The following is a 27,040-nucleotide window of genomic DNA, read 5'->3' as shown; positions in this document are numbered from 1 at the left end:
TGTTTCTTAGTGATCTCGTTCTACTGTTGGTTGTAAAGGCTTTCTGGAGGTCAGATGAGTCCTTTTTCAAAATCGTCACCCATTTCCTGGCTTTGGACTGCACCAAGAGGTTGCTTGTTCTCACCCCCAGGAAGTCTTCAAGCTATAAACAGCTCTGATCAGGGCATGAAGGACCCAAGCCCCAAACCCCAAGCCCAAATCAGTCAGTCGTTAAGATTTTAGACGAGTCAGTGCTCCTTGTGTAGCTTACATATTTTTCATTTACAAATTAGGCAGATATCTAGAAATGGTCCAATCATGTGTCCTAAAAGCAGCTTCTACTTGGTCTATCCAAAGGGTCATTACACATTCATTTTGATTATTTGTTTTATACTTAACAAGCATGCCGTAAGCAAACATTTATTATTTATTGTACATTTAATGAAGGAACACAAATATAAGTTACTATTAAAATAGGTAAGGAAACAGAATCAGAGGGCCTTCCACTGCATGCCAGAACCAGAATTCAGGACAGAGATCTCGCCATTGCAACCCTCCTCAGCGGGTGGGCGTGGGACGTCAAAATTAGGTCTGGAGAGCAAAAAGGGGTGGTCTTCATTCTGTCAGGAGCTCAGAGTCCCTTCCTGCATCCCAACAGGAGCATTCCAGCAAAGAAAGGAGATTATTCCATGGAAAAGAGCTTCTGGGAATGGTCTTAAGCTTTAAAAACCAAAGACCAAGGGGAGAGCCACAGAGATCAATATGAAAACCAGAATGAAATATTTTAAACGTACCCTCCATCTTGCAAACATTTGGAGATCAGTTTCCACATCCACATAGAGAGAGACCCTTCAGTTCCTTCAATATATGTGTGCCTCTCATCCTCCTAGCTCTGTGATCTCAAAATTAGAAGTGGCCATAAAGGCCATTAAGCCCAGTGCCTGCCCCATTGGTATTCCTGAGGTCTCCAGTGAAGCAAAGATCATTATCTCCTGCCACTGCAAATTCCATCTTTCCATCAGAAAGTTCTTCCTTACACGGAACTGAAATCTGGTTCCTCCCCGGCCTTCCATCCCTTGCTTCACGTTCTGCCTCTCAGGACCATATTTCAACCTATGTCTGTCTCACTGGTTTGGAATTTTTGTAGGTGAGTATGTACACTCGTTCCCTCAGTATCCATGGGGAATTGGTTCCAGGACCCCTGAGATACCGAAATCCAGAGATGCTCAAGTCTTTTATATAAAATGAGGTAGTATCTCCTGTATACTTTAAAGCATCTCTAGATTACTTATAATACCTGAGAATGCAAATGCTATGTGAACAGTTGTTATATTATATTGGTTTTTTTATTTGTATTTTTTTATGGTTGGATTTTTTTTTTTTTTAATATTTTCGAGCCTTGGTTGGTTGAATCCATGGATGCAGAAACCATGGATACAGAGGGCTGACTGTATATAGAAACAAAGCTATCCAAGACCTCATCCCACAGTCACTCTGGTTGTTCTCCTGACCACATCACACTGCTGACTTCTAATGCATTTTTTGCCAACTTGAAATCCATTCTTTTTGGATTTTTCCAGTGTGTTACTGCTAAGCAGTCCATTCAGCATATATACTGCTGGCCTTGTGGACTCACAAGTCATACCCTACTAAACACCCATCAGATGGACTTGTCTACTTTATTGAGAAACAACAGAAGATAGACCTGCAAGTCCAGCTGTTCATCTACCTCCACCCCACAGCCCAAGCCACATTCCCACCCTTTGTGGATGAAGCTCAGGGATGCAGATCCCATTCCAAGATCCCCACTCCTGTTCTCAGATCCTGCCAGACCTAAAACTGTCTCCAGGACACAAGGCTATTCCAAGCAACATTAAGAGAGAGCTCTGTAGGAAAAGAGGGTCTTGTCAACACAATTCTCAGAATAAGAAAGCAGCCAGCAGACAGGGCAGCAGGGTCAATTTGCTAATCACGGGGCTGGGAGCTTGTGATCCCTGACAACACCATTCTGAACCTGTGTCTTTCTAAAAAGAGAGAAAAAATGTTATTTTCTTTCACAGTTCTGATGGCACTGTTCGCCGTCAAGGCCCATGTAGTAAGTACAATGATGCCTCCCATTATTAGTGTGTTCTACCTTTTATTAAATGATTTCCCAGTCTCATTGAATCCCTTCCAACAACTATCCCAGGAGGTAGTATTATACCCAATTTAGTGATAGGAAGACTGAGGTTCAGAGAGGTTAAGTATATTCCCAAGGTCACACCAGCAATAAGGAGCAAAAGAAACACTGGTTTAGGAGACTCCAGTTCCAATTCTGTAGACTCCCTTTCCAATTCTGCTACATACTAACTGTTTTAACTCTGGCTAACTTTATTCTGAACCTCAGTTTCTACACCTGAAAATTGGAGATTAAAATAGGCGCTCTGCTTATATCTCAGAGCAGTTATAAGGATCATATGAGATAATGAGAGTGAAAGCCCTATGGAAAAGGGTAAGGCATTATAAAAGTGTAAGGGATTATTGTGTGATTACTTACAAATGACTGTGCATTCCATTACAAATACAAAAAGCAGTGAGGTCATTCGCAAGACAAAGAAACATTAAGTCTCTGGGAATTAAAGGAAAATGATTTGATGTTCTACGGGGTTATGTCTATATGCTGCTCACTCTTGCAGTTCAAAGCTCAGCAGCAGCTGTCAGATTTTCAAACTCCAAGTCACATATGTCTACAGGAAGGCTCAAGACAAAATCTCCCTTTTCAGCTAAAAGCAAATGCTGGGCCAAAAGGAGGTAATAGAGATGGACGTTTCAAAGACCCCCTGAGATTCTCAGTTCCGGAAACGTGGCCTGCGATGTTTTCCTTGGAGAAGCTGTTAGAAACACAGGCTCCAGTCTCTCTGAAATAAGCCCGTGGGGAAATAAACATACAGTAAGGAGCTATTTTCCAGAGAGCACTGAGGATGCTCCCAAGCATGAATTAATCAAGGGCACAAGGTATTTCAAGCTGCAGATACCAAAAAGCTAGTAATCTCCAACCCACTAAACCTCCCAGCCCGGCTCACAGAAGCTTACCCTGGAATTCTAGCATCCCTAGCAGTGGGCAGCAGGCTGAGCCAGCAGATGAGGCTCATTTACATACCAGGTCTTGCTGAAGATCACCTGGGGGCCGCAGGGGACCCAAGGAGCTCTGAGAGCAAGCTGGTCTGGCTTCCTTCAGGCCTTTCCCAACATGCCACTTGTCAGGATTCTCTTCAATTCCTGAAAAGAGCCAAGTCATCTCTGTCATTTGTAGAGGGGCCGGATCTTCGCCAGAAATCCATTCCCAAGGCTGACAAGCACAGAGCCCAGTGAGGTCTGTTTTCTGGTTTGCATTTTATCATTTGCTTCCTGTGCTGATCATTTGAGAAAGACACTAAAGTAATTTATTGCATAGATGTGTGAGCATCTACTATGTGTGCGTGCTTGAATCCCCAGGGATGTTACAGCAAAGAGCTGTGAGATACAAACAACTTCAAGGAGCTCACAAATCCAGTTCAAGACAGAGACTGACTGCAATTGAAGGACAAGATGTTGTAAACTCTATGAGTTCTGCAGAATCCCTCCCAATGGGTGGGTTAGACTTTTGGGCTAGGAATTAAAAGAGGATGGAGCAGGGGGGCACAGATGAAGGAACAAAGGGCATTCCGACAGAAGGAAATATTTAAGCCAGACACAGTGGCATATGTCTATGGTCCCAGCTACTCAGGAGGCCAAGGCAGTATTACTTGAGCCCAGGAGTTCAAGACCAGCCTGGGAAACATAGTGAGATTCCCATCTTTAAAAAAAAAAAAAAAAAAGAAGAAAAAGAAAAGAAAGATTTGAACCCCAGCAATGACTGAGAAGATATGACAAAGACCAGCAAGTTAAAATCAAGCTTAGAAAATGTGGGTGGAGCACGGTGGCTCACACCTGTAATCCCAGCACTTTGGGAGGCCGAGGCAGGCGGATCACCTGAGGTCAGGAGTTCAAGACCAGCATGGCCAACCTGGTGAAACCCCATCTCTACTAAAAATACAAAAACTAAACAGGCGTGGTGGTGTGTGCCTGTAATCCCAGCTATTCAGGGGGCTGAGGCAGGAGAATGGCTCGAACCCGGCAGGAAGAGGTTGCAGTCAGCTAAGATTATGCCACTGCACTCAAGCCTGGACAACAGGGCAAGAGTCCACCTCAAGAAAAAAAAAAAAAAGAAAAGAAAAAAAAAAAAAAGAAAATGTGTAGGTCACTAGTGAGAGAAGTGGGCAGATGGATAGAAATAAACAGAAGTTAACTCAGAAAGGTAGATTGAAGCCAGTTTGTTGTAGCCTGAGGCAATTGAATTCTATGTCTAAAAGCAGAGTGAAAAATAAATAAATAATAAAAGCAGAGTGTTCCTTTACTTCGAGATGCAAAGCTCTGATTATACCATTGATGAGTTTAAGAAAATAGGCTCTTTTGACTCCTCGCTGCCAAATCATAACAACGATAACAATGAAAATTTAATGAGTGTTTACTCTGTGCTAGGTATTATACTAAGCAGGTTACATACATTATCTCATTTAACCCCAGCAATGACCCTGTGAACTAGGCACTCTCACTCCCATATTACAAATGAGAAAACAAAAGCTTAAAGGAAAAGTCAGATGCTCAAATCTCAGAAATAGTAAGTGCAACAGTCCAAAACTAACTGCTTCACATAGCAAACTCAACCCCTTGCAATTCTAGACTGTACTCCCCAGTTCTGGTCTTCTTTCTCATCGCCCAGATTCTCCCCGTCTCATTTCTAAGAGATGAAATCCTCTCCACATAACTAGCATGCATAACAATCTTGTATAACAAAAATAACTGTCTCTGAAATAGTTGACAAAAGTTTATATTTGTTTCTGTCTCTCCATTAGATCCTTGGGATCAGGAACCTTGCCTTTCTTGTGAGCCGGTGTACACAGTGAACACTCAAGAGTTATATATACTTAGTCAGACAATGTCTGTGAAGGTTGGACCAGGAAGGTAACACAATACTAGCTATAATTTCAAACCTTTTTAGCACAGATATTGTACCAATCTCAGCAAGGTTCCCAGAGTCCAAAGGGGAGACACAACCAGGTTGCAAAATGCAGGTCAAAGACCTTGTGGCTCGGGACATCCTGAAGGTCCTGCAGCTACTCTGTGGTTGCAGGACCTCGAACCTCCAGCAGGTGCGCCAAGAGCCAAGATCTTCACAGGGATCTGGACAGATTAAACCTTTCCTTGAAAAAATGAAAAAGCCATGTCCCACTGAGACGGGGATTTGAATTAAAGGAGGTGTGTCTAACAAAGTGGCCCAGGGGTAAGGGAGCTCTAGGCTGAGAGGTCTCAGACCCGTCACATCTCGTGACTCGTGCTAAGCCACTTTGTGTCCCCTTGTGCTGAACCACTCTGCCTCTCAGTGTTAGCAAAAGGAAGGGTAGACACAGTGGTTTTTTAACTTTTATATGTAGCAGCAGAACTTTTCCTTTAAATGGATGCTTTGACAATGTTTAGCTTACAAAATAGGAAAAAGCAGAGCGACTCAGGTTGGCTCTAGCGGTCCCCTTCCTTCCTCCACTTCCCACCACTTTTCACCTCCCTCCGTGCTATATCCCTCAAGATGACTCCTGGAGTCTCTCAGGCTCAGAAGAGAACAGCTTGAAAACCACCAGCCTTCTGAGCTCTTCATAGTACCTTCCAGGTCTGATTCCAGTAAATTCCAAGGTCTGACATGTACCTCCTTAACAAGCAGCTCTGCATTTTCACCAGTGGGATGGGCAACACATGGCGTAGATGGGGTGCAGCAAGGAAGAAAGAAGTCTCAAATTAGAAAACTTACATTATACTCTACTTACAGCTGGGTGCAGTGGCTCAGGCCTGTAATCCCAGCACTTTGGGAGGCCGAGGCAGGCAGATCACTTGAGGTCAGGAGTTCAAGACCAGCCTGGCCAACACGGTGAAACCCCGTCTCTACTAAAAATACAAAAATTAGCTGGGTGTGGTGGTGTGCACCTGTAATCCCAGCTACTTGGGAGGCTGAAGCAGGAGAATCGCTTGAACCTGGTGGGGCGGAGGTTGCAGTGAGCCAAGATTGCACCATTGCACTCCAGCCTGGATGACAGAGCAAGACTCTGCCAAAAAAAAAAAAAAAAAAAAAAAGATTATAATCTATTTAGGACCTGTGTTCTCTCAAGCAAGTTATAAGCAAGTTATTTCATCTCTCTAAACCTCAGTTTTCTCATCTGTAAAATGGAAAATAATATTGTTTATCTACCTCCTAAGGCTTTTATGAGAATTAGCTAATAAACTAGTTGACAGAATTGTACAATATTACAATCACTCCATCCATAAATGTTTCTAGATACTCAAATGGAAAAGCAGGCAGTACTGAGTTCAGGGCAAAAAAGGTGCCCAATAAGTAGCAGGTACTGGTTTCTTTCCTCCCTGGCACTTATCAACATGTTCAATTTGAACCAACAACATGATAGCAAGCAAGAGTTACTGGAAGAAACACATTTTATGTCCCAAATTCTCTATAGCTCATCTTTGAAAATCTTAACAGCTTATCTCAGAAATCTTTGAAACTCATGACCATCTTACACTTCCAAGAGTGACACCCAAGACTGTGGAGGATAAAGAAATGTGAGTTTGAGAAAAACACTCCTCCAGGTCATTGGCACAGGAAGAAGTGTGAAACTTGGCATCCTCACTCCTGACTTCCACATCAACCAGCCAAGCGGCCAGAGAAATCCCATCTGCTCTCTGAGCCTCAATTTCCTTGTCTGTAAAACAGGAACGAAAACAATCCTACCTTCCCCCTCACTAAGATATTGTATGAACAATGAAGCCAACAGGTGTAAAAATATTTCATATAGCTCTACAACTATAAAAAATATTGCCATTGTTATTATAAACTCAAGTAAAAAGTTGAAGCACTGCAAAAAGTTACTTAGAATGTGTCCAAAACTTGAGAATCACCCCCCGCTACTCCAATTGCAAGATTCCCTGTTGCCCTCCTGAGTTACTGCCAAGATTCCCGGCACATCCTAAAGATGCATTTCATTGAGATTTTCCCAGTTGACTCCTCACCAGTGCTCTAAACAACACAAACGATAGCATCCACTCACCCTCAGGCCAGACTCAAGGCCTCCAGGATGAGCCCAATCTATGTTTTTAGCCACGTCTCCCTTTATATTGCTACAAGAACCCCTGGCCCCAGGCAGGAGTGCACCCTCAATTCCACAGGACTCAAAACTTGGCTCATGCTTTCCCCGCCTTGTGCTGTACCTCCAAATCTCAGTGCAAAACCTCTTTACTGCACAGTGGGGAAGTGAGCCCCTTGGGAGTGTTTTCTGATTGGGGTATGGTCAGTAGTGTCTTCACTGGCCCACCCCTTCTCTAAAGATGGCCCCACCAATTCCCAGTGCATAAACATCCACATCAAGATAAAAAGGAAGATGTCTGTAGCTCTTTGTAGTCAACAAAACTTTTCACACAGCTCCTCTTTTTAAATGCTTAATATCAGATGTGTCCATGGTGCCTATTTTACAAATTTTATAGTAAGTGGCTGAGCCAGTAACCATGTGCAAGCCTTTGGCACCAAAGCCTGCACACACCACTCTCTCTTCCCCCAAAGTGGGTGTAATTTAAACCCTGCTATAAGGCCAGGGGCTCATGCCTGTAATCCCAGCACTTTGGGAGGCCAAGGCAGAAGGATTGCTTGAGCCTAGGAGTTTGAGACCAGCCTGGGCAACATAGCGAGATCTTCTCTCTACAAAAAAGAGAAAAAATATATATACATATTTGATATGTATATATATTTAAATATATATTTATATATATTTAAATATATATATATTTAAATATATATTTATATATATTTAAAAATATATATATATTTAAATATATATTTATATATATTTAAATATATATATTTATATATATTTAAAAATATATATATATTTAAAAATATATATATTTATATATATTTATATAAATATATATTTATATTTATATTATATATATATTTATAAAAATATATATTAATATATAAATATTAATATATATTTATATAAATATATGTATATATTTAAATATATATGTAAATATAAAATACATTTTTAAATATTTTTATTATATTTTATTATAATGAAATTATATTATATATTATATATTTTACTATACTATATTAATATAAAATATATTGTATTACAATATGCTGTATTATAATTTAATATATATAATATATAATATATAAAATTATATATAATTTAATTACAATATAATTATATATAATTATAATATAATATACATTTTATATTTATATTATAAATAAATATTTTTACTATAATTTAATTATTATATAATTATAATAAATATTTTTATTATAAATAAAAAACATATAAATTGTTTCTCTTTCCTTCTTTTTGCCAGCAAATATATATAAAATAAACCCTGCAATAAAAGGTACAGGAGGTCTGGCTCCCCGGCCAGCTCCCCACGTGACACTGGACAAATCACTCTCCCTCTGTGAATCACAGTTTCTTCATCCATAAAATGAGGGTTCTAGAGTCACCTCATATATCCACACATCCTTTTCCCTCCCAAGAAAAGACTTCAGAAATGAAACCTCCATGAGCAGCAAACAAGGAAACATCTCACATATGTTTAGTCAGTTCCATCCCTGAGCTTCCTCTCCCAACCTCGAAAGCCCATCCAAAAAGAAGGAAAAGGGACCAACCTGAATATCAGAAAGCCACCACAACCCTACAGGACAGCACAGGGAACGCACGCGGCTGCCATCCCCAGGCAGACAAGCAAGCCACTCCCCAGGATCAACTGCAGTCATGGTCATAGCGCGTGAACCTTGTCAGCAAATTGCTGGTTTGAATGGCAATTTTTTAAAAGCTCAAGATGCAAGAGCATTGATGCAGACGACACAGTCTGCTCCCTACATGCCTCATGGCTTATGGGCCTCACACAGGAGTCCATGCAAGAATCTCTCTTTTTCACATCTCTCTTCGGTGTCAGCAAGTACTGCTGCTGCCTGACCACAATGTGGAGACAGTATCTGTGTGGCACGCCACTGTGCCCTTTCCATGTATTCTCTAAAAGTCCAAATGCTGGCTGCCAGGGCCCTCCCAGAACCACAGGATCCTAAATCTGGCAAAACTCAGGTACCCACTAGTCTAACACCTGTAAACTACAGTTTGAGGCATTCATTCATTCAAAAAGCATTACTGATGTTTACATGATGCATGGTGCCAAGACGAGGCTACGTTTCTGCTCTCAAGGACCTGCTCCAATATCTGAAATGGCTTCCCAATGGCAACAGGGGAAGTCCAAGTGCTTTATCTAGTAGCTCTAGTTTCTCCACAACCGGGACCGAAGCTTCTATTGCCACCATAAACTTTCTCCCATTGCCACTCAACACATATTCTTTGCTTTATTTAAACTAAACTCTTGGCTCACCTTGTCCCCTCTGCTTGACCTGCTATCCTTCCACTCCCAACACCAAATATCCACGTCCTACACATCATCAAGCACACTCGTAGTCTTCAACAGGAATGAGATGACCCTTTGGAGAAAGACAGTTTTTTATCTGTGGTGTCTTCATGTATTAAAGGACGTCTAACTTCCCTGGCCCCAACCACTAAATGCCAATGGCAGCCTGATCTCCAGTCGTTGGGACAACAGAAGACACCCCATTATGCTGCTATTTTGTCTTATTGAGATGGAATCTCACTCTGTCACCCAGGCTGGAGTGCAGTGGTATGATCTCACCTCACTGCAACTTCCACTTCTTGGGTTCAGGCCACTCTCCTGCCTCAGCCTCCCAAATAGCTGGGATTACAGGCATGCGCCACCACTCCTGGCTAATTTTTGTATTTTTAGTAGAGATGGGGTTTTGCCACGTTGGCCAGGCTGGTCTCGAACTCCTGACCTCAAGTGATCCGCCCGCCTTAGCCGCCCAGAGTGCTGGGATTACAGGCATGAGCCACCACGCCTGGCATCCGTCACATTTTTAAATGCCCCATAATGAGATGGTACTACCCCCAAAAGAGAATCACCGGATCACAGACTATATAAAACTCTCTACTTCTCAGCCCAGTCAGAATAATCTCTCTTCCCTGGATTTGCTGAGCCTGCTGTGTAGGGCATTGATCAACATCTTCCTTGCCCTGTTCTAACTGTGTGCCTGATTTATTCTCCTTCCCAGTATTGGCTCCCAGTGGAAGAATCCTTGACTTCTCTCTCCCCACATTGCCAAATCCAGCTCAGGGACAGGTCCATAGTAAGTGTTTAATAAATGTTTGTGAAGAAATTTTGTAAACAAGACAACTGTCCTAGGGTATGACTCCCAGGAGGAGATTAAACTGAACTGGAAAATTGCAAATCAACTGCTGTCGTCAAAAATAAGAACTCAGTTCAGAAACTGAACGTGGGCAACTGGCCTGTTTTTTCAGGGTATTAATTATATTAAGTTTATATATTTTACATAAATAAACAAATATTAAACATAATTTCATAGTGTAATTATATTACAGTGTTATAATTACTTATAAACATTAAGTATTTCAGAATAATAACTCCTGGGGATTTTAAATGGATAAGTTGGGGGTAGATATATTCTCTTGGCTGGCTCAATCAGACTATTTCCACCAGCTAGAGTGCCTTTCTGCATCACAGAAGCCGACTTAAAAATTACATTCCCCATACTTCCTCAAAGCTAGTAAATTAGGTTCCGCCAGTAAGATTTCCTTGTGTGTGATCTGGAAGGTGGAAGTGAAGCTGAATCTTCCTGCTACTATTTCTACTGGCAAGCAATACCAGGGAATCATGAAGGGCAAAAGGACACTCCATAGGCCAATCCAGTGCCCCATCACTAACTATTAAGATGTTGAGAAAAGTTTCTGAGGCCTCAGCAGTGGCTTCCTAATCACATCTTCCTTATCCCTGGATTGTGGCTAACCAGCCTGACCAATATGATGAAACCCCGTCTCCACTAAAAATACAAAAATTAGTGGGGCATGGTGGCATGTGCCTGTAATCACAGTTACTCGGGAGGCTGAGACAGGAGAATCTCTTGAACCTGGGAGGCAGAGGTTGCGGTGAGCCGCGATCGCACCACTGCACTCCAGCCTGGGCAACAAGAGTGAAACTCCGTCTCAGAAAAAAAAAAAAAAAAAAATTCTTAAACCCAGTAGCTCCAGTCTTTTCAATAACTTTGTTAGCATCTCTTTCCTGTTAAATTATACAGAATGTCTTTCCTGAACTTTGTTAGATGCAGGAGGGAAAAAAAAATAGATAAATTAACCGATCACTCATTCTTTATTTATTTGGCTGAGACCTATGTCTGTCTATATCTAAAAGCTTCTCCCTTGCCTCTGTGAAGGAACAAAAAATATCTCAGTTTAGTATAAGAAGCCAAATAGGGCCAGGCGCGGTGGCTCAAGGCTGTAATCCCAGCACTTTGGGAGGATCACCTGAGGTCAGGAGTTCGAGACCAGCCTGGCCAACATGGTGAAACCCCGTCTCTACTAAAAATACAAAAGTTAGCTGGGCATGGTGGTGTGCACCTATAGTCCCAGCTACTCGGGAGGCTGAGGCAGGAGAATGTCTTGAACCTGGGAGGGGGAGGTTGCAGTGAGCCAAGATCACGCCATTGAACTCCAGCCTAGGTAGGCAACAGGAAAACCCCATCTCACAGAAAAAAAAAAAAATCCAAAATAGACCTAGAACTCCAGGGTTACATAAGCAGTCGATGTAATCAGCAAATCAGAGTTACACAAACTAGTTTATGGACAATATAAACGCTAATTCATATACAATGAAGCATGGTTATAGCGTAACTACTGATCCTTTCCTTAGGATTCCTGGCTTGACCTTTGTTTTCCTGATTTGCCAGTGAATACTCAGCACCATACAGGTGCGCCTGCTGCATACCCTGTGGCTCTACCTCCGTGCAGCTCCACAGAGACGTCTGTTCCTCCTTTTTGGCCAAAAGGAGCCTCCGTTGTATTTTCCAACAAAGGCTCCAGCAAATTTTCCGTCCCACATGCTCTTCCAGAACTTGGCCACCCCACCAAGATGTAAAGTCTATTGCCTCTCCCCTTGAATCTAAGCGAGTTGGGGACTACTCCGACCAATAAAGTATAGCGAGATGATGCATCTACAGCTTCTTCCTGCACCTGCTAATGCTCACTCGCTCTCTTTCTCCCTCTCTCCCTTCCTCTCAAGGCTTGCCCTTTGGAAGCAGCCACCAGGCTGTGAGGAAGTCCAGGCCACATGGAAAGACCACATGTAGATATTCTGACCAACAGGCCTGGTTAACGTCTCAGATGTCATGTGAGTGAGTGAGCAACCATATCCCTCTAGCACCCAGCCTTCGAGTCTTCCAGCTGAGATCCCAGGCATTGTGGAGCACAGAAGCGTCATTCCCCCTTTGCTCTGTCCAAGTTCCTGATCCACATAATCCATGAGCATACTAAACGATTGTTGTATACCACTGAGTTTGGGGGTAATTTGCTACACAGTAATAAACAATTGGAACAAAGCCCAGCCCTTTCTTTTACCTTCACCTGGTGCCTGCTCTGACCATGCAGATGTGACTTTCTCATCTGGTGACCCACGTTTTTCATGGACACCAGTTTCTCTAGGGTTGTCAGTGGTGGGCAGAAGGGCAGGGGTGAGTTCTGCAACAATAATAGCTCTGAGACACTGCACAGTTCATGGGGAATGCAAATGAATCAACATAAACATGGGACCCAACAGCCCCAGTCGCTCTGTCTACCAAGTAAATGTGAGGAGGTGATGCTACCTCTCTATTACCTCATCTGTAAAATGGGCATGCCAATGCCTGACTATTGAAGAAGTTATGAGGATGAGATGAGAGGTCGTGTGAGGAGCACTCCACCCAGTGCCTACAATGTCAGATACCAAAGTCTATCCACCATACCCTTCAGCTGACCAAGGGCTTCCATCTACAAATGTGATTCAAGTCTACAGAACAGCACAACAGCTATGCTGCTCTCTTACCCAGCATCAAGCCCAGGCCCTTATACACAGCAGGTAGTTAGAAAACATTAAGCCTGTGCTATATAGCAAGGAAAGTTTCTATCATTTCAAAACAATAAGGTATATTGTTTAGGAGTGTGGTGCCTGGAGCCACTGGCCTGAATTCAGCTCTGTCACTGGCTGGTGGCCTGGGGCAACTTATCTAAGCTCCTTGTGCATTTGTTTCCCTATTTATAAACAGGGATAACAATAACACCATCCTCATAGGTTTCTTTAGAGGATTAAGTGAAACAATATGAATAAAGCAGCTAGAACAGTGACTGGCACATAGCAATCGCTTGCTACGTTTCACCAAGTGTGTAAACCTAGAAGCAATCTTAGGACACAGGTATACGAATGAGGTTTTACAAATGAGGAAACTGAGACTCGAATTATGTAACTTGTGCAAGGTCAAAGGTAGGGGCGAGATCCAAATCCAACTCCGTGGCCTTCCACCCAAATCCAAAGCTCTTTGCACCTCAGCATCCTGCTTTTCGATATGCACGCCTAATGGAAAAATGTATTTAACTAGAAGAGGGGAAAACAGCCCAGACATAACGGGGTTGCACCTTGGGAGCTTTCTGGGTATCACAGGATGATAAGGCCAATGTCATAAGCCCTGCCCTTCAGCACAGTCAGCTCCTGTGGGTAAAATTAGCTCAGCTCTGCTCCAGTGCCGCCTGGAGCCCCGAGGCAAAACTCACCCCAGGCATAGCATGACCTCACCTGACCCTCACTCTTAAGTAGGGTCCCTTATGCACCTCATTAGGGCCTGAGATGACTCATTGTGTTCTTTCCTGTCTCTGGTGCTGAGGTCACCTCTATGCTATACAGAAAGGCGGCTGTGAAGGAGAAGTAAAGATGAAAACGCAGGCAACCATTCTGCACTCGCTTCCTCCAAGGCAGCTCACAAGCAAGGATCGGAGTGCCTGCCTGCCATGCCAGCTGTGTACTGGGGCAATAAAGCTCTGCCGAGTTATATAACCCAGCTCAGGAGAAAATGATAGACACTAGCCCAAAGGGACTCCTGAGATTACCATCCTTATTCTACTCTGGTGGTGATGGTATTGAGCAGGGAATGGGCCTATTCAATATCCTTCAGTCCTGCAGAACATGGCACAATAACCATGACTATAGGGGTCTCCTCTGCACTGTCCCACCCAATACTACCCAAATTGAAGGCCAATCTTAAATGTCACCATTCCTTGAACCCTCCATGCTCCCATCCCTACCTGGCTAGAATTTTTATCTCAACTCCCACAATGTCTTATCTATACAATTTATTATTTGGCATTTATTTGCTCAACAAATATCACTTGCACACCTATTTTTGATTTGAAGATACAGAAATATAAAGAATTACCATTGCTCTCAAGGAAATGCAGCCCAGTTCAACAAATGGCCTAAAATGGAGGAAGCAGAGACAATAACAGTCAGAGGAGTATTCCAGGCAGAGGTGGTATCAGAGCAAAATCTTGAAAGGACTGATAGAGTGGGCAATGGTGTTTCAGACAAGGGAACACTATGTGTGAGGTCACGGGAGCTACAGAGAATCCCAGGTATATTCCTAGAGCACAAGATCATCTTGGAGATTAGTGAGATGAGGACAGAAAGAGGCAGGGGTCAAACCACTTCCTGCCTCTTTCCATTCCTGTCCCTTAATTCATGCAAAGGATTCTTAATTTGCCCTGAATGAGGAAAGCATTGAAGGATTTTAAAAACAGGGACATAGCATGAACAGATTTGCATTTTTGGAATATCACTCAGGAAGAAAAGAGAGAATAGGATGGATGAGGGTAAGAATAGAAAAAGAAGGCCAGCTGAGACTGCTGAAGCACTCCAGGAGAGAGATGCTGAGGGCCTGAATGGAGGACAGGCTCCAAAGGTAGAGGGAGGAGGGAAGTGGGCAGGACGTGTTACCGTGGTTGACTCTGTAAGACTGAGGACAGTCAGAGGCAAGAGTGAAGGACAGAGAGGAGCCATCCGGAATGAGTCCCAGTTTCCAGGATTGGGCGATGTCACTCACCAAGCTAACAATGCCAAAAGACACGGTGAGCCCCATGCAACTTTGGGATTTCCAACTGGAGTGTCCAAAAGGCATGTAGGAGTGTGGGCCTGAAGTTCAGGAGTTCCAAACTGGAGATAAACACCTAGCAGTCATGAGACAAAGCTCTGCAATGCTTGTATTTATGGGATACAAGAGAGAGCAAGAGCCTGCAAAGAAACCCCAAGGAGAGGCTAGGGAGGTAAAGGAATAACAAAACATCCAGAGACACTGGGAGTGGTCAACAGAAACAGCACCACCAATGCCAAATAAGAGCACTGCTAAAAAGGAATGCATCTGAGCCCTCTAGACCCGGACAAGAACAACTTCCATCCGACCAGAATGGGTTAAGAAGCCAAAAGAAGGTGAGGCAGTAGAGACAAATATAAAGGCAGAGGAGTAAAGAAGCGAGATGCCACGCTCTCAGAAAAGCATGTCCGTATAAATCTTACTTCCTCTACTAGACACAAGCTAGAATAGTGCTGTCCAAAAGGAATAAGATGCAAGCCACATATGAAATTGTTAATTTCCTGCAGCCACATTTTTAAAAAGCAGGAAATCATAGGAGAAATGCATTTTAATTTAACCCAATATATCCAAAATATTATCATTCCAAGAAGTAATGAACATCATATAATTTATTAATAAGATATTTTACATTACTTTTTATACTAAGCCTTTGAAATCTGGTGTGTTATACTTAACGGCACATCTCAGTTCGAACTAGCCACATTTTAAATGCTAAACTGCCATATGTCATTCTAATTTAACTTTGATGAATCAAGGCTCAACATGGCAGCTGGCATGCTGTGTATTTTTTTCTAATAATATGACAAAATGAATGGAAGGATGGATAGATGCTTGCCACTTCATTGAGAAATTCAGTAAACTCTCTACGGCTTCGTTCTCTTTATCAACTATACAGTACTTTAAGTTTCTAGTCTTGGGTTATATTATGAGTAGATCCTTGGTATAACTTAATATTAACGGCGTAAGTTTCATTCTTTCTAAATTTCCTCTGTTGCTTCAAAAATCACAAATTTCGTCAGCCTCTTTCTTTTTTCTTTCTTTTTTTTTTTGACAGAGTCTCGCTCTTGTCGCCCAGGCTGGAGTGCAATGGCGCAATCTCAGCTTATTGCAACCTCCACCTCCCAGGTTCAAGCAATTCTCCTGCCTAAGCCTCCTGAGTAGCTGGGATTATAGCCACAAGCCACGACGCCCAGCTAATTTTTGTACTTTTAGTAGAGACGAGGTTTCACCATGTTGGCCAGGCTGGTCTTGAACTCCTGATCTCAGGTGATCTGCCCACCTCGGCCTCCCAAAGTGCTGGGATTACAGGCGTGAGCCACCGCGTCTGGCCCAGGCTCTAACTTTCTTAGGTCAAAACAACTCTGTGAAACACTAGTCAGAAGACTACCACTGACACAGATCTCAAGCAAGCCACTTTACTCCTCTGAATGAACCTGTGTTTTCTACCATAGACGGGTATATAACTCTTAACTCTGCAAATCTCACAGGTTCATTGTAAAACTCACATGAAACAGTGAAAACACTAACAAAAGTAAGGTAGAATCCACAGGTACCTCTCTATTATAAAGGTATGTCATATGAGCTTGTAATATACATTTCAATCATGTCTACATGCATACATACATAATAAAACTCCACTTGGCTATCTTAATGTCAATATTTTGACTTCCAACATCATTATACTTCCCTTCTTCCCTCAAGAACTACAGAAGTTGTGGTCAACCTGATTTTCCTAGGAAAAAGAAACTAGGTTTTCCCTGAGTCATCGCACTGAGGTTAGTAGAACTGGATAGAGCTTGCCTCCAAAGTAGAGATGTAAACAGATTGGGCAGGACGGAGTGAGCCTGGGAGATGGTATGGTTGAGGCTCAGTTGCCTCTCTAGAGAGAGGACCCAGAAAGTGTCCTAATAATGAAAACATTTCTCCAGCCCAAACAACTTCTAAGAGCTGAGTGGTAATAACTATTTGGATCCATTCTGCCTTCTGGTGATACACAGAAATATCTGGGAAATTAGAAAAGGTGTAAAGCTGAAATGAGGACTTCTTATCGGCACAATTACGAAGTACAGAGGAAAAAATTAAGATGATCAATTGGATTCTTTTGCTGTCTAAATTTACCATCAATACACTTCATAAAACATCTTCCCTCAATAGCCCATGGCTAACTGACCAGGAATGAGGGCCACTCACCAACAGAGAATAGGGAGCTCACCTGACCATTCAGCACCCTGATTTTTTCAGGGAAGAAACAATGAGAACCAGAAGAGTACATAAAGGACCAAAGATGGTGAGTGGGGACTTGCCCATGTAACACAGCATGTCAGTGGCAGAGCTGAGCCTTAAACCTTGTTCATCAGAATCCAAATCTTTTGCTGGTTCCCTTTATGTGACCCCCAATTTTTTAAGTCAAATTAAAAACTATCCACTGACTAATCGAGCCAGATAAAACCATTGATGCATAGGCTGCACAGTGTAACTCCAGGAAAAATTTAAAAATGGATAAACTCAGCTGCAAATGCCATTTAACCCAAACTCTATCCTACTAGCAGAAAAAAAAAAAGAACCTTCTACTTGCTATTTCTCAACCACACATTTTCCCATAGCCAGCGAAGTTCTTATGGCAAAGCAGTCATCAAAACTAGTGTCCACCAGACCACACATGTGAACATGTCACCCTTCAGTGCCTGACCACACACAACAGAGGTCAGACTTGTGCAAATATCATGTCCTGTAAGGAACAGTGGAAAGCAGGGCAAGTTTATAAAATTTTGTTGTTGTCCTCACTTAACAAACACTTACATGGCACTTGTTGTATGCCAGGCAATTTTTTACATACTTTAGAAATATGAACTCATTTAACCTTTCCAATAACCTTGTACAGTAGCTACAATTATCATCATTCCCGTTTTACAGGTAAGGAAACCGAGACACAGACACAGATCTAGACAGCGACAGAGCTGGGAACTGAATCTAGGCAATCTAGCTCACAGTCCATGTTCTTCATCGCCATGCTATGCTGCCTCTCAGTGGATTTTGTTTTCCTTGTTGTAATGGTTGAGGGAGGGGAGGTACCAGAACGCCAACTTCTTCTTGTACAGTAATAAACATGAAAGACACACAAACCAACACGCTATCTTCAGCATAATCAGCACATTCTCTCCCTAAAGTCAAGTTATAGGACAGGCCAAATCTCAACCAGGAACATGTTATTGATTTACTCTAAGAAAGCCCTGTCACAACAGCATAAACACAAAATGTCCATGTGGTCAGCCTATTCTTTCTATCACCATCAGGAGGTTGTTTCACAGGAGTAAAAAGTCAAGTCAAAGTCTCAGGGGCAGCAAGGAAAGATGGAGAGAAACATCTCCCTGAGAATGGTCTTGCTGAAGGTATTGGAAAGCAGTACATCTGAGGCCTCGTCTTTCCGGAGCACTGCCGACGCCTGGAGCAAGAACTCTTGTCCTCGTTTTGCAGAACAGGATACGGACACCTCCAGTTTTTGTCACAACTTACATTTCTAGGCAAGAAAAGGGCCCTGTTTCTCATGGATGTCACTCACTGCAAATTCCCAGGAGAGAGAGGCCATACAGTGGAAAAGCGGAACGTTCAGACTTTGTAGTCAGATGAGACTGAGATCAAACCCTGTTCTTGCCATTGTGTGACTTTGTGCAAGTCACTTAAATATGCTGAGTTGATTTCTTAACCTGTAGAATGAGTGAAGAATGAAAATTCCTACTTCATGGAGTTACTGTCAGATTAGAAACAATGTTTGCTAACTGCCTAACACCTGGCATGTGATAGCTATTATTTAAAATAAAAATAAAAATGGTCTCATCTTGATATTTCCCCTACCCTGTGGGAGAGATTAAATGGATGTGCTGCTCTTTCTCCTTTCTTCCCTGCTGTTAACAGGACGACTGTGCTCACAATTACCTGAGCACAAAATCCCTTAGACCTGAACCCCTCAACTGTCCAGTCAAGTCCTGTGCTGTTTCACACACTGGTGTTCTTGCCCATGATCTCTCTTCTTCCTAGAAAGTTCTTTACCAAACTCCTATTCATCTTACAAAACCCAACTCAAGCATCACCAACCCCATGAAGCCTTTCTAATCGCTACCTCCTCTGTGCCTTGTGTGCACATCAAGTACTACATTGAGGATGCTATAAGATAGTGGTATAACCACATGAGAAACTGACATTCATCAGTACACAGAGATATAGCAACACAGGTTGCTAAAATATTTAAATATTCCCTTACTCATTGCCAAATAGTTTATGTTTTGAGGCTCCTAGTTGTCCTAACACCATCCCAATTTTCCCAATCCCCCCCTAGGAACCCTCAAACCTCCTCAAGATCCAGCAACTAAAGTTCCCCTCTGGCAGACCTAGAGTTATTTCAATACAGTGTTATACATATTTAAATATCGTCTCTCTGTCTGCATGGATAACTTGCCTACTAAAATCAACATTGATTTATATGCTTTTGGGAACAGAACAGATATTAACTGCTGGAAAAGATGCTCCTTGAGGTCCGGAAGCACATGACTCCCCAGCATCCAGAACACTCAGCTACAGTGAGCTCGTAGCAACGGCTGAGTTGATTCAATGTCTCCTATGCCTCCCCTCCTCAGCCACCACCTGGCTCACAGTGGACCTTCAGTGAGTGTTTGCTCACTGGCTGACCTGACTGCTGTGTTGAATCAAACTGTGGGGTCAGACTGAATTTGATTCCAGTTTCCACAGTTACCCAAGCCATCTCTCTGACCACTGGCTGCTGCCCCTCCATTCCATCCTCACCCACTTCCAGTGGCAAAACCTAAAGGCCAGCTCTTGGCTCCACACCTTTAATGGTCCTCTGATGCCCACAAATCAAATCCAAACTCTTCTGAAGATGGCAAAGGAGGTCTTCATTCTAAGAATAAGGAAATAACCAAAGAAACAGTTGTTTCCTCCAAGCACACAAAGCGTAGCAAATAAATATAAGAAGGTATCCTTTAAAAGTTAACCAAACTGTTAAAAACAGCTCCTTGTATTTTTAAAACCAACTGGGTTTTTTGTTTGTTTTTGTTTCTGTTTTGAGACAAAGTCTTGCTCTGTCGCCCAGGCTAGAGTGCAGTGGCACGATCTCAGCTCACTGCAACCTTGGCCTCCTGGGTTCAAGTGATTCTCACATCTCAGCCTCTCAAGTGGCTGGGATTACAGGCATGCAATACCACTCCCAGCTAATTTTTGTATTTTTAGTAGAGATGGGGATTCACCATGTTGGCCAGGCTGGTCTCGAATCTCTGACCTCGTGATCCACCTGCCTCGGCCCCCCAAAGTGCTGGGATTACAGGCGTGAGCCACCACGCCTGGCCCCAACCAGAGTTTTAAAAATGGTGGCACATCAAACTTATTCACTTCATCTTCTTTCATCATCTAGTGAAATAAGAAGAACAGGGATTATTTTCCTTCATTTTAACAATGATGGGGAGGTGACTTGCTCAACTTTCACAGTTGGTTCACATTATGGCCGGGGCTAAATTCTAACCTCAAGAATCTTACTCTAGAGCTGTTGGTTTCCTCAGATCAGCTCATCTCAGTGCACAATCTTATGGACTAGGATGTAAAAACACAACATGCAACTCTGTCACTCCTGCCTTCTACTGCTGTCATACTCTGCTGCTTAGCGCTTGTCACCCTCTGAAATATGCACCTGTTTACTTTGTTGTCTGTCTTGCCTCCTAGAATGCAAGCACTTATGAGACCATGGACTTTGCCTGCCTCCTTCATCACTATATCCCCAGTGCCTAGAACAGAGCATGGCACAGTTAGAGCGTGAAAGGAAGAGGCGACATGGAGTCAGACCCCACATTGACTCCTTCTCCCTCACTTACCAGCAGCCTAGCTGGACAGGTACCTAAACATCTCCAAGCCTCAATCTCCTCATAATTAAAATCCAAAGAATGGGCCAGGCACGGTGGCTCAGGCCTGTAATCCCAGCACTTTGGGAGGCCGAGGCGGGCGGATCACATGAGGTCAGGAGTTCAAGACCAGCCTGACCAACACGGTGAAACCCCGTCTCTACTAAAAAAATACAAAACTTAGCCAGGCATGGTGGCCCATGCCTATAATCCCAGCTACTCGGGATGCTGAGGCAGGGAGAATTGCTTGAACCCAGGAGGCAGAGGTTACAGTGAGTCAAGATCATGCCACTGCACTCCAGCCTGGGTGACAGAGCGAAACTTCATCTCAAAAAAAAAAAAAAAAAATCCACAGAATGACACCTACCACCTACGTTACAGTGTGTGTGGGAGGAGTAAAAAAAATATTGGCCATTTCTCCACACAAGTTATGCACCCAATACGTGCCTGCTCCTCTCCTTCTTTCAGTCTTTCATTCCCTGTCCCCCAATACCTCCTCTCATCAATCACCCCTCTTCGCTTGCAGCATCTACAGCCAAAAATAAACCCTTCCCCACCTCCGAGTGTCAGCACCCCCCTCTTTCACAGACCCTTTCTAAGGCAGGTGTCTACAAAGGACCCTGGCAGAGCTCACAGTTGGAGCCAACCACATTCTCGTGTCTGCCAAGTTCTGACCTACTTCCCAGCCAGACTGAAGCAGGTGACGCTGGTACTGATTCAGCAAGGTCTTTTTTTTTTATTCTTTTCAAATCATCTTGGACTTGGGACAGAACCCAGAATCACAGAGTTATGGAACTCAGAACAGAAGGGTTTACAAAGCCCAGGCCATCAGATACAACCCTATCATTTTATAGATGTGGAATTTGTATTCCAGAGAATGAGGTGTCTTAGGCAAAAATAAATCAGAATTCCAAATTCCTCAAATATCAGAAACCACAGCGTGGCCCCAATTATATCCTGAGAGAGGGCCCTGGCCTGCCTATCACTCTCGCACATCTCAGAAACTCTTCCTTATGGGCCTAGTGCGGTGGCTCATGCCTGTAATGCCAGTGCTTTGGGAGGCCAAGGTAGGAGGCTCACTTGAGCTCAGGAGTTTGAGACCAGCCTGGGAAACATGGTGAAACCCTGTCACTATTAAAAAATACAAAACTTAGCTGGGCATGATGGCACATGCTTGTAGTCTCAGCTACTCAGGAAGCTGAGGTGGGAAGACAAACTGAGCCTGAGGTGGTTGAGGCTTCAGTGAGCCTCAGTCATGCCAGTGCATTCCAGCCTGGGTGACAGAGTGGGACCCTGTCTCAAATAAATAAATAAATAAAATAGCACTGTTGGACCACATCCTCTCCAAGCTGTGAGATTTTGGATGTATGTGTCTCATCATCACCTCCAATACATTATCACCCACTAACCAAAATAATTAGACTGTGAGTCATTAAGCTTAGGTCTTTTCCATAGGGCAACAGGTACATATTCTTTTAGTATGATCAGTGTTCATCTATGAATTGTTAAGCTTTTCAAAGACAAGGATCCTATTTTTGTGTAATTATGTGATGCAGATTTCATCCATAACCATAGAGTAAATGTTGCTAGCCTGATGAAGTTTTATAGTAATACCATGGTGCAGGGTGACCAACAATGATGCAGCATCTTCAATACATCAATTACCATGCTTCCCATCACTATGTATTTCTTCCCAGCAGTCCATTCATTCTAACAACCTGCCATTCCTCAAACCCTTCCTTATATACCACGTGTAGAAGCAGTTGTAGATCTTGTAGCATATTCTCAATGGGAATTCCTCTTTGAGTTTTAAGAATGAATCTGGTTTTTCCCAAAGTCACCGAGAAACAATTCCAGTGAATAAGGGTGATGATCCAGTTGGAGATGATCATGCTGAATAACACTTCGCCAAATAATTGTTATACAAAGATTTTAGGTGACAAGAGCATCATGGGCCTAAGTCATGGAGTGTTGGCTGACCCCTGGGGACTCCTTTAAGGAGGGTGATAACTCAGTGAATTACTAGGCAGTACCAACTTTGCAATAAGTCCCAATACATTATATCTTCCAAAAGCTGCCAAGAAAACTAAATGTGCTGATTCAGAGGTGGTACTCCCCTCCCAATTCTTACTGCTCCTTTCCAAAAGGAAAAAAGAGGATCTTAAGTAAGAAATGCCAAGTGATCCCCACTAAAACCTAGCACCATTGTAGTCAACTGGCATATGTCCTCAAAGATGATGACACAGGCTTTCCAGTTTTCTTCCCCTATGAAGAATTCATATAAAATAATTTAATGAAAAGGCTTTATGCATAAAAATGTTCAAAAGAGTATTATTTATAAGAGCAAATAACTGGCAATAACTCCCATTCAACAATATGTAAATGGCTAAATTTTAAAAATAGTACATCCACTCAGTGGACTAGGAGAGTGGCTATTAAATATATAGGAATTAAAAAATAAACTAGAATGTCTATGAATATTCAGTAGAGAAAAAAAAGAAAGAGCAAACAAAACTGCCTGGTATTAAAAAATTGGTGAATAATATTTTAATAACATATCTGCTTCTGAATATTAATAATGATGACTAACAGATAATGACATTACTCAGGAGCTCCAGAAGAATGCCTCCATGAAAGCCTGGAAATATCTGAAACCATAATAAAAACACAGGGGTTTAAATAAAAGGAAGCAATTAGAAACTTTGTGGGAGGGAAGAGGGGGAAACTGCGTAAGAAATTATAGCCCAGATATGGAGAAACCAGTCCAAAATAAGAGAAAAAGTTGCTGGAACTTGAAGAAGACACACAGAACAGACTCCAAGCAGACAAGAGAACGACAGAATACATAAGAGATATGGTAGAAAATGCTAATTTTTTCTCTCAACAAAAACAAAATACAGCCTAAAATTTTAAGAAATAAGAAGAAATTATAATAAGAAGCTTATTTATTATCTATTTACTATAGAAATAAAATAAACAAAATGTAGAATGACTCTGAACAACTACAGAAAAAATTACAATCATCTATTAGATTTTGATGCTAAGGGAAAGTTCAGTCTCCTATAAGTGGCTTAAAGGTGGTGACCTCAGAACCCCAGAAAAGGAAATGAAACCACAGCACATGACTTAGCCCTGTATTAAGCAATATTTACCTAGAAATCATAATGTAAATATTATTTATTTTTTCAGCTTTTGCAATCAAACCACAGAGCACAGATGACTTAGCTATACGTATAAAACCATTAATATATACATGTGCCTATATGCATGTATCCATTATAAACCCTCGAGATGCAAAAGGTAACCTAAAACATTATTGACAAGTTGAAGGGTAAATGTGGAGAGGAAAAGTGGAGGGAAACTCTAATATCTTCATCTTACAAAATAGTGAGTGAAGCGAAACTGTCAAAAGTTCATATAGCAAAAGACTGAGATTTATGCATATTCTGTAAACATAAAGGAAACCACAAAGAATAAAAGTAGAAATGTAACTGTCAAGACTTGGGAAGAGAACTGGGAAGGACCAATTGGATATAAATAAATAGTCCTTACCTATCATAAAATAAAGTTTAATAGGCATATCTAAAACTAGTAACTCAAGCATGAGACAGAAGCATATTATTTAGAAATATGATAGTAACCACCAAAAAAACTCAAAAACAAAAAATGGTTACAAGTGGTTGACTATGGGTAATGGAACCGGTTTGGGAAGAGATGGGACAGGAAATTACTGTTTTATTGTAAACACTTCCGCATTATTTTATTTTTACTGTAAGCCTGTATTATAGCACCTTTTAAATTAAAAAAAAAAAAACTTAGAAAAAAATTATTTCAAGCTAGAAAGGATTAACTGCCAACAGCAGGACCAAGAGGTCACAAAAGTCAAATGTGAAGGGGCTTTCCTGGGAAAACCATTACAAGATGTCACTCTTTTGAAGATCATTAAATGCATGACAAGGTCGTCTTTTTAAGCCACCTAGCCCTCTTTTAAGAACTTCTCTTTCCCCTTCTCTACCCAAGCTCTTTAACTCTCTCCTAGCATCCTCCTATAAAATTTTCAACACTCTGTGCCCTTCAAGTCTCTTTGCTGGCTTCAAAATAAGAAGCAGTCCCTTATGAAAACTTGAAAATGTAAAGAATCCCTGAGGAAACCCCAAAATCAACAGACATCTCAGGCTGTGCAGCACTGTGGCCCAGAAGCACACCAAGGCCTGGGGGTTGGAGCTATATTTAGCAGCTCTGGGCAGACAACAAGGACTCCTGTTCCCTGGAAAGGAGGTAATTAAAGAAGGCAGATTTAGGCCTGAGGTGGTTAAGTCTCAAGAACTATGGCTCCGGGCAAGCCCAACCTGTGCCCTGAATGAGGAAATAGGAAGCCGCAGGCCTGACACTCCTTTCCTACACCAGCTTTTCTTCTCTCAGGTTTCTAAAGCCAGGGAAATGCCAGTTGTCAGCCTGATCGCTTCTTTTTCTCAGTCATTTAAGACCCATTTATGGGCACCCGCTATGTGCCAGGCTTCATGCTGAGTGCTGCAGAGAGGGGAGACATGAATCAGAACTTTGATCTCAGGCAGCTGACAGGTGAGAGGGGTGTAAACACAAAACATAACATTAGGTCAACAATTACCCACACCATGAGAGAACGACAGAAGGGAAGCCGCTGCCCGTTGGGATTCCTAGGGAGAGTGTCCAAGGAACCATGCAGAGGCTTGACCCAAACAAATGGAAATGATTGAAACATGTGAAGAAAAAGTAGCTTTCTGGAAGGTAGAAATTACACGGGCAAAGGCACAAAGTCAGCCAGGGTATGTAGGGGAAAAGAGAGTTATCCACGCAATAAACTGTGGGGTATATAGAGGGAAAAGAGAATTATCCACTCTATGAACTGTGGGGTATATAGGGGGAAAAGAGAGTTATCCACTCTATAAACTGTGGGGTATATAGGGGGAAAAGAGAGTTATCCACTCTATAAACTGTGGGGTATATAGGGGGAAAACAGAGTTATCTACTCTGGATAAAACAAGAGCGAGTGAAGAAGATTAATGTTCCTGACTTGCATTTACTGGACTCAGTGGATATTCTCTCCTTCCCTGCAACCTGTGCCCTACAGGGTAAGAATATTCCCCCCACCCCGCCCGCTCCCCGATTTCACAGATGAAGAGTCTGCAACTCAGGGAGGAGAAACAACATTCTCGAGGTCACAGAGCTGTAAATTAACAGAGGACAATTTCAAAACCAGGCCTCCTTGGCTCTAAGACTCAAGTCCTTTCCTCCTCTACCATCAAAAGAAGTATAAAAAGAAGGCGTCTCTGCAAACAGAGATAGAAGATATGCCAGTGGCCAGGTGCAAACACGTATCACAGTTCACAGCAGCACTCCCATTGGCTTCATTTTTAGGGATTTCCAAAATTTCACACTGTACCTGTGCCTGTGTTTCATAGCTCTCTCTTCTTACGTCCAAGACCCTGTCACCATCTCAGCATCTGGAGCCTTTCGAAACCTAGGTGCTGACACTGCACTGCCCCTTTACCTACACCAGCCAGTCCCCCTTCCTGGTAGGCCCTGCCCAACCTACATCTCCTTCAGGCTAACTCTTAGTCATTAACAGAGGTGGGCTCAGCTTGCTCCAGTCACAGTGGCCTCAATGCAAATGCTTATTGAATTACAAAATGTACCCCTGCTCTTTCTCTACTATCCTAAAAAAAAAAAAAAAAAAAAGTTTACCGGAGCCCTATTCACTTTAAAAAGAAGCCCAGGAGGCTCACTCTTCAATTCCTTATTACTCAAGGCTCACATTAGGGTCCGACCTGCTTTTCCCACCACACAGCTCAGTATGGTGACCCGATACCACCTTCCTACAACCTAAAGGAATGCCATATAGCCTTCAAAGCCCAGTTCAAATCCAATATTTAAAAAACAAATTTCCTGGTTCATTGAATGCATCCTTCGTGTAAGCTCCCCAGGCAGCACACTTGTCTCTCTCCCCACACTCCCTGGCACTGGATAG

The 27,040-nt window shown here is 42.4% G+C and overlaps 1 protein-coding gene across 49 annotated transcripts in view; it reads right to left on the bottom strand.

Moving 5' to 3' along the window:
• Positions 1 to 27,040, bottom strand: part of LPP (LIM domain containing preferred translocation partner in lipoma) — a 737,651-nt gene that overhangs the window by 679,235 nt on the left and 31,376 nt on the right. For 13 of the 49 annotated variants that reach the window (XM_047448103.1, NM_001375457.1, NM_001375456.1 and 10 more), the window contains exon 2: positions 3,119 to 3,237. The exons of 26 other annotated variants lie outside the window; for them this stretch is intronic. Coding sequence is in view for 3 of the 23 variants with exons in the window: in XM_047448097.1 (XP_047304053.1) it covers positions 14,420 to 14,422 (3 nt within the window). In the remaining 20 variants the exon portion in view is untranslated. Of the gene's footprint in view, positions 1 to 3,051; positions 3,238 to 14,419; positions 14,460 to 19,972; positions 20,154 to 27,040 lie in introns of those variants that run through there. 10 more of the 49 variants (XM_047448109.1, NM_001375461.1, NM_001387674.1 and 7 more) reach the window with 7 other exon arrangements.

This window comes from Homo sapiens, chromosome 3 (genome assembly GCF_000001405.40).
Source record: "Homo sapiens chromosome 3, GRCh38.p14 Primary Assembly".
Lineage (NCBI taxonomy): Eukaryota > Metazoa > Chordata > Mammalia > Primates > Hominidae > Homo > Homo sapiens.
Note: the sequence above shows the minus strand (reverse complement) of the source record. Positions and strands in the feature narration are given on the sequence as shown.